Source organism: Homo sapiens, chromosome 20, assembly GCF_000001405.40.
Source record: "Homo sapiens chromosome 20, GRCh38.p14 Primary Assembly".
NCBI lineage: Eukaryota > Metazoa > Chordata > Mammalia > Primates > Hominidae > Homo > Homo sapiens.
In genome coordinates this window covers 571,509-578,574 of record NC_000020.11, presented here as the reverse complement: position 1 = coordinate 578,574, position 7,066 = coordinate 571,509, and the positions used below count along the sequence as shown (strand labels likewise).

General features: G+C 50.4%; 2 annotated features.

Annotated features, from left to right (window-relative positions):
* Positions 1,156-1,450: an enhancer, noted in NCBI's record as "tiled region #14258; K562 Activating non-DNase unmatched - State 5:Enh". NCBI's record gives its function as "activates a minimal TATA promoter and a strong SV40 promoter by Sharpr-MPRA in K562 cells {active_cell/tissue: K562}" and the evidence as "EXISTENCE:reporter gene assay evidence [ECO:0000049][PMID:27701403]".
* Positions 5,510-6,270: an enhancer, noted in NCBI's record as "H3K4me1 hESC enhancer chr20:552949-553709 (GRCh37/hg19 assembly coordinates)". NCBI's record gives its function as "activates a minimal SCP1, AML or CMV promoter by ChIP-STARR-seq in primed H9 embryonic stem cells {active_cell/tissue: H9 hESC(primed)}" and the evidence as "EXISTENCE:reporter gene assay evidence [ECO:0000049][PMID:30033119]".

Below are 7,066 nucleotides of genomic sequence, written 5' to 3'. Positions count from 1 at the left end.
CTCATTGCCAGACCCAGAGAAAAACCACAGGACATCAATGCAAAAAGAGCCACCTTGAGCATCCTGGAGTTCAACCCCTTTATGTTCCCAATGAGATCACCAAGGCTCAGAAAAGAGAAGTAACATGCTCAAGGCCACCCAGCAAGTAGGGAGCTAGGCTGGGACCTGAGCCTGGGCCTTGGTGCTCAGCAAAAATTTATTGATAAAACTCAGCCTCCACTCAGGTTCCTGTTAACTGCTGGGCTGGGATCCAGGAATAATAATACAATAATAATAAAATGGGAAGCAGGTACAACTCTCAGCTCACACCCAAAATAAATAGCCTCCATTCCACTAGGTAGGAGAAACTTAATCTTGGTCAATTCTGGGTGTCTTCTTTTGCTTTTTCCCCTCAGTTCACCTCCCTTCCCCTGAAGTGTCCTGCTCCAGGTGCCTGCACACACACTCAGGCAGTTAGGTTCATGGCTTCCTTGGGTTCTACCCAGAATTAAGGCTCTGGGCCCAGACCTTAGACCCCTCAAGACCACACGAAGTTTCTATTCTTTTTTCAGGGTTACACCAGTGTCTATGCACACTAATTTCCTATATTTCTTTCCTTTCTTTTTTTTTTTTTTTTTGAGACAGAGCCTTGCTCTGTCACCCATGCTGGAGTGCAGTGGCACAATCTCAGCTCACTGCAACCTCTGCCTCCCGGGTTCAAGCAATTCTCCAGCCTCAGCCTCCTGAGTAGCTGGGATTACAGGCACATGTCCTACCATGCCGCAGCTAGTTTTTGTATTTTTAGTAGAGACAGGGTTTCACCATGTTGGCCAGGCTGGTCTCAAAACCTGACCTCAAGTGATCTGCCCAACTCAGCCTCCCAAAGTGCAGGGATTAGAGGCGTGAGCCACAGCAACAGGCTAATTTCCTATATTTCTGACCCTCTGTATTACTTGGGATGCTAACTCAGCTATTGATTTCTCTCTCACTAACCAGTAGGGGGCAAGCAGTCTAGGCCGCTATGAGTCCCATGACGTCAGATACCTGGGATCCTTCCATTTTGTTGTTCTGACATCCTCAACGTGTGGCTTCAGTCTTGTGGTCTAAGACGGCTGCTACTGCTCCTGCCACCATGCCAAATTCTAGCTGGCAGGAAGGGAAGAAGAGGTGTGGGAAGAGGATGCCCCTTTTTTTCTTTCAATGCATGACCCAGAAGTTGCACACACCATTCGGTTCACATATCCTTTGCCAGAGCCTGGTCACGTGGCCACGCCTAAACTGCAAGGGAGACAGCGAAATGCAGTGTAGATACATGGCCATCTGCAGCTATAGAAGAAGGGGAAGTCGGGTAATTGCATGACAGCTGGACATCTCTGCTACACTTCCCTTCTCCCCACCTCCCGATAATCTTTATCTCGTTTCCTAAAGAGGAAAACCAATTTGACTCATCTATTCTTCTCAATCTATTATTTATGGCATAAATTGTACACTCTCAAATTACTCAGGGCTTTGACTAAATTTCCATGACTCTTGTCCTTTGAGACGTGAATCTCTAAGGTGATGGAGGCCACCAATAAATAGGGGAAAAGTAAAATGTATGAAAAAATGCAGGAGATGCCTTCAGTATTACAAAAAGTTTTACAGTTACCGGCCAAACGTGATGGCTCACACCTCTAATCCTAATGCTTTGGCAGGCCAAGGTGGGCATATCACTTGAGCTCAGGAGTTCGAGACCAGCCTGGGCAACATGGTGAAACCCTATCTCTACAAAAAATACAAAAAAATTAACTGGGCATGGTGGCATGTGCCTAGAATCCCAGCTACTTGGGGGGCTGAGGAAGGAGATCGCTTGAGCCCCGTAGGTTGAGGCTGCAGTGAACCAAAATCGCACCAGTGCCCTCTGGCCTGTGTGACAAAGTGAGACCCTGTCTCCAAAAAATAATAATAAAAGAAAGAAAGAGAAAAAGAAAATGTTTTACAGTTACAGATATAATCAGACATGTCTTTCTTGCTAAACCTTTTTGTGGCTTCCCCTGACTTTAGACTTTGGCTCCAATGACAGCTCTTCAAAGAGGCTTTCTCTGCCTACCCTATTTGGTTCCTTCATAATGGACATCACAATATGTAAGTTGAAAATATTTATACATTATTTGGCTTGCAAATGACTTGAGGAAAGGGACCTGTCTTTTCATCTTTGTATCCTCAGTGCCTGGCTCAATGCCAACACATGCCGGATACTCAGCAAGTACATTTGATTGAATGACGAGTTTGTATACAGGGCCTTGTGAGGTGTAAAAAGTGAACACATCTTTTCAGATGACTGAATGGAGTGGACGTGACTCTTACAGTGTATGGTCCAGGAGGAGAAAGCTATGCTTCTTTGACCCTAGAGATCAAAGCATCAACATGAGTGGGTCATCTCCAGTGAATGCCAAGGGGGCAGAAGCATGCTGGAGAGCCAGATGGGTTGGTATAGCTTGAGAAACACCAGTCACAGACCCCTTCTTCCCTCAACCAATGCCAAGATGCCTCTACCCTTCCAGGACTTAAATGAATCCGGGAAAAAAGGGATGCCAGGGAAAGCTTGATTCACCCAACTGAGTTCAAATCTGAAATAATTGGTTTTTGTCTAGATTTTTTTGAAGTTTGCATTTTCTGGCATCGGAAAAAAAAAATAGGAGCTCAAGAGAAGCAAAATTCAGTTGTACAAAATGGAGCATTCCAGTTCTGATAGGTGTATCTCGGCCATATTAGAATGACATCATTCTGGAATCACAGTTGGGTTTACTTATGAAAACTTATAATCACAGAGTTAAAGTCATTGGATATTAGAATCACCTAAGTGTACAATCATAAGCTATTTGGAAAGAATATTAGAGACTGTTTTAGTTTGGGTTCCCCTAAAAGCAGAGCCTGAGACAAGAATTTGGGAGCCGGTAGCCCAGGAAGCCAGAGGGATCTGGGAGAGTGACAGCGAAGAGGGGAAACGGATAAAAAGTGAGTTATTGAGCCAGTTTCCAGTATGGGCAACCAGTGCCCCCAACTCACTGCAGACCTTTGAGTGACCAGGAACTTCCAATGGATAAGAGGATGGGGCATTTACCCACTAACTCCCATTCCCCATTGACTGAGGGGTGCCCCTAGTGGCATCAACTCCTCCCAGGTCCCTGAGAGAGTTCCCAAGTCTTCAGAGAAGCCAAATGACTGCTGGGTGTTTGAAAAGGGATGCTGTCAGTGTGCTGGGAACTGCCCATCACAGCTATAGCTAAAGGCATAGGGGCAGACACCAATAACTATTGATCCAATTTCACCCCAGAACAAGAATTCCTTTCTAAAGGGCTAGGCTGGGGTTCCGCAGTCTACATCAGGCTGGAGGACTCATTTGTTTGATTAGCAACATGTTAAAATAAAATTGGAATCTAAAAGCCTTCCTTCGCACCATAGTTTTCATTTAACGTCCCGACCACTCAGCATTGCTCGCAGGCCTACAGATTTCTGTCACCTGTCTGGCCCCTAAGGCATTTGGCTTTGAGGCCCTGCCCAGCATCTCTTCTAGGCTACAGGGTCTTTAAGGACAAGACCCTTTTCTAGCATCTGTGTCTCCAGCTGCCTGACGTGCAGCCTGGGAGAGGACCTAGTAAATAGGTGCTGTGAATGTAGCTTCTGCTTGCATACTTCCCGGCCAGGGAGCTCACTCCCTTCAAGGCTGCCTGTTGCATTGCCTGCTACCTGCCCCCACCCCTCCTGCCCTCCCCCCAGGCATTCCCTGGGTGGGGGCTGGGGGTGAAACTCCCTGCTTGGGGTGAGCAGCAGGTTGATTTCCTCCTGGAGCTTCCCTCAGCAAACAATGAGACAATGGCGAGCCGGAGGTGGCCTGCGTAAGACGGCCGAAGAGGGGAAGTTGTAATCTGTGCGTGAAGCCAGCGGGCCGGCAAAGGGGCGAGAAAAGCAGCCCAGCCAGACCGGGCCCTCCACCCAGCAGGCCCCTGGGACCCAGGAGGCCCCAACCTGAAGGTCACCTGAGTCGCCCTTGAGGAAAACAGCCACAAACCACTATTCGAATGGAGAAAACAAGGATGGGTGGGGCTTGCCCCCACAACCCTCCCTTATCCAGATGGTCCTAGCTCCTCTCTGCGTAACCCCATCTGCCCACCTTCTAGGCCTGGCTTGCAGGGACACATTCCCAGACAGACACCATCTGATTCTGGCTGTGTGACCTCGGGGCATGTTACTTAATCTCTCTGTACCTTTGGTTCCTTATCTGTAAAAGGGGGGCACCTTCTTCTTCTGATTGTCAAAATGATTTCACCCCTCCATTTATCCAGAAAGCATTTATTGAGCATCTGCAATTTGCTATTACTGTTGGGGATATGGCTGTGATCGAGAAAACGTCCCTGCCCTCATGGAACACACAGTCCTAATGTGGGGAGAGTCAGCAACCAGGTAATTGCAGCAACACCTGTGAAATTACAACAGCGACAGGTGTTACCAGGAGAGGAGGCAGCACCTTAAGATGCCGCAATGTGAGACTCAGCCTAGTCTACAGGACAGGGTGGGCTTCCTCTAGGAAGAGATAGTTAAACTGAGCTGAGCAGGGAGGGAGAGTTTACTAGGGCAAGAGGAAGGAATTCAGGGAGTAACACAATGTCTCAGAGGCCAGAACAACGTGGGCATTAAGGAGGGAGATTCAGGAGGCCTGTGAACCTGGACACAGAAAGCCAGGAGGATGTGAGAGTTGAGGTTTATAAGGTATGCAGGGTTAGCCCCCAGCTCCTACCTCCCATGGAACCTCCATAGGAGAGCAAAGAGAAGCCACAGAAAGTTCCAGTGAAGTGACGTCATCCTGTCCACTTTCAGCTAATGCACAGAAGCTCAGCACAGTGCCTGGGCAGGTGGGCTCCCTCCTTCTTAAGGGCAGGGTCCTGTCCGACCGCATCATGCATGACAAATCACTGCTTCCCCAAACGTTCCTATCACTGCCAGGATTAGGACTTGTTGTGCCCACCTCACAGATGAGAAAATCGAGACTGAGGACAAGGGAGAGAGGGATGCGTCCAGCCCCCTCTGGGTATGGGAGAGTGGTTGACAGGGCATTCTGCAACCTCAGAGAACCTCTGAACACCCGGCCACCTCCCATCTCACAGATCTCAGGGGCAGCTCCTAGCCCTTCTTCCCTTGCCCTAGGGTTCCCTAAATCCAGCCACGTACCCATAAGGGGAAAAGGGCTGCAGACAACTCAAGAATATCCCCCTCCCAGATCATGACACCACATGTCCCCAAAATCTGAGCAGCCACTGCTCTACCTGGGCTCGGAACCAGCCTTTGGCTCTGTCCCCAAAGCCTCCCCCTAAGCAAGTGGCTCCAATCCTCAGAGGCTCATAGAAAAAAACAGCTCCCACTTATAGAGACCTGTAGCTCACAGGCAAAGTGATGGCAAAGGGTCATCACTTTGATGACCCTTCCTCTTAGTCTTCAGAGCTCCATGAGCCCACTCTACTGAGGAGGAAAATGAGGCTCAAGGAGAAGCATCCTGTCCACGCTCACAGAGCCAGGGAGGAGCTGAAGCCAGGACCCCAGCTGCTTGGCCTCCAAGTCACTCCTCCACGTGCGCACCTCCTGTAGAGCCCCGTGGGTCCTTTACAGACTGTGTCACTGCAGGCTCAAAGCCCTTCGTAGCTTCCCATGAATCGAGCCAAAGTCCTCGCCTCACCCAGAAGTCCCCACAGCCCTCTCTGCTGTCTCCCCCACTCCACACAAACCTTGCCTTCTCTTCCCTTCCTTGCTTGCTCCCACCTCAGAGCCTTCAGCACCCACTGCTCCCTCTGCCTGGGCTCATGTGGTGCCCCAGCAGAGCAGCTCCCCCCAGCACCCTCAGAAACTCTATCCCTGCACCCTGCTTCACTTTTTCTTAGAGCACTCATCTGCACCTGCCCCTACAGGAGACATTTACTTGTCTCTTATTGTGAGCCCCGAGAGGCACAATGGTAATTGTCTGATACACGTTTGTCTCATGAATGAATGAAGGTAAGAAGGAAGGATGGAAATTCTCTGTTCCACCCCTGCTGCCCCAAATGCAGCCCCCAAACCTGCATCCCCAGATGCCCCCAACACCTCGCTTCTTGTTCCCTGTTTGGAAAGGGACCATGTACAGCCATCGCCTCACTGGACTGTCCCACCAGCTGTGGCAGATCCAGATCACATCCTCAGTTCTAAGGAGCAAGGAAACCCAAGCTCAGAGAGAATGCCCAGCTTCCCCAAGATCACAGAGCCGCGGTTTCCTAGAGGCGTCTCACTATCCCCGAGGCAGCAGCCCACTCGCTGCAGCTGCGGGTGCCACTGCTCAGAGGGCCCAGTGCAAAGGGAATATTGAGGCTCCGCTCACCCTCTTTCTCCAGGGAGGCCCAGTTATGTTGGGGGGGTGCCCTGCTGCCAACAGCTTCCCTCCTCCCAGCGCTGAGACTCCAGCTCCACGCGTTCCAGGAAATCCAGGCCACATTTCCCTCCCGGAGCCGCCCAGAGGGACCCTCTGGGGAAAGACACAGCATTTTTGAGGAAAAGGAGTGGGAGGGGTATGGGAGAAAAAGTCACCACCAAAAAAAAAAAGAAGAAGAGGAAAACAGTGGCTGGGCCAGGAATGTGCCGGAGTGAGCCAGAGCCAAGCCTCCTGTCACATCCACAGCTGGCCGGCCAGGGTGGGGCGAGGGCGGGGCGGGGCTGGGTCACTCTCGGGACAGGACGCCAGCTGCTCCTGGCGAGCAGGGAGGTGGGGCCGAGGGGGGGTCCCTGCCACCCGCCTGGTAGGGGAGGAGCTGGAAAATAACCTGAGCCGGGAATCAGGACACTGGATTCTGCAATCCCCCCAGGGCAGAATGACCCAAGTTTGTTCTCCAGCCTGGGCCTCAGTTTCCCCAACTGCATAAGGATGAGATTTGAAGAAATGCTGAGGTGGGGTGACTTTTCAATAAGAGACTGGTTGAATCAAGTGAGGGACAGCCACAATTTTTAGCAGGGGTTCTTTACCTGATCTAGAACTCAGAAACTTCATGAACTTAGGTGGGAAAAAATAACTTTATATTCACTAACCTCT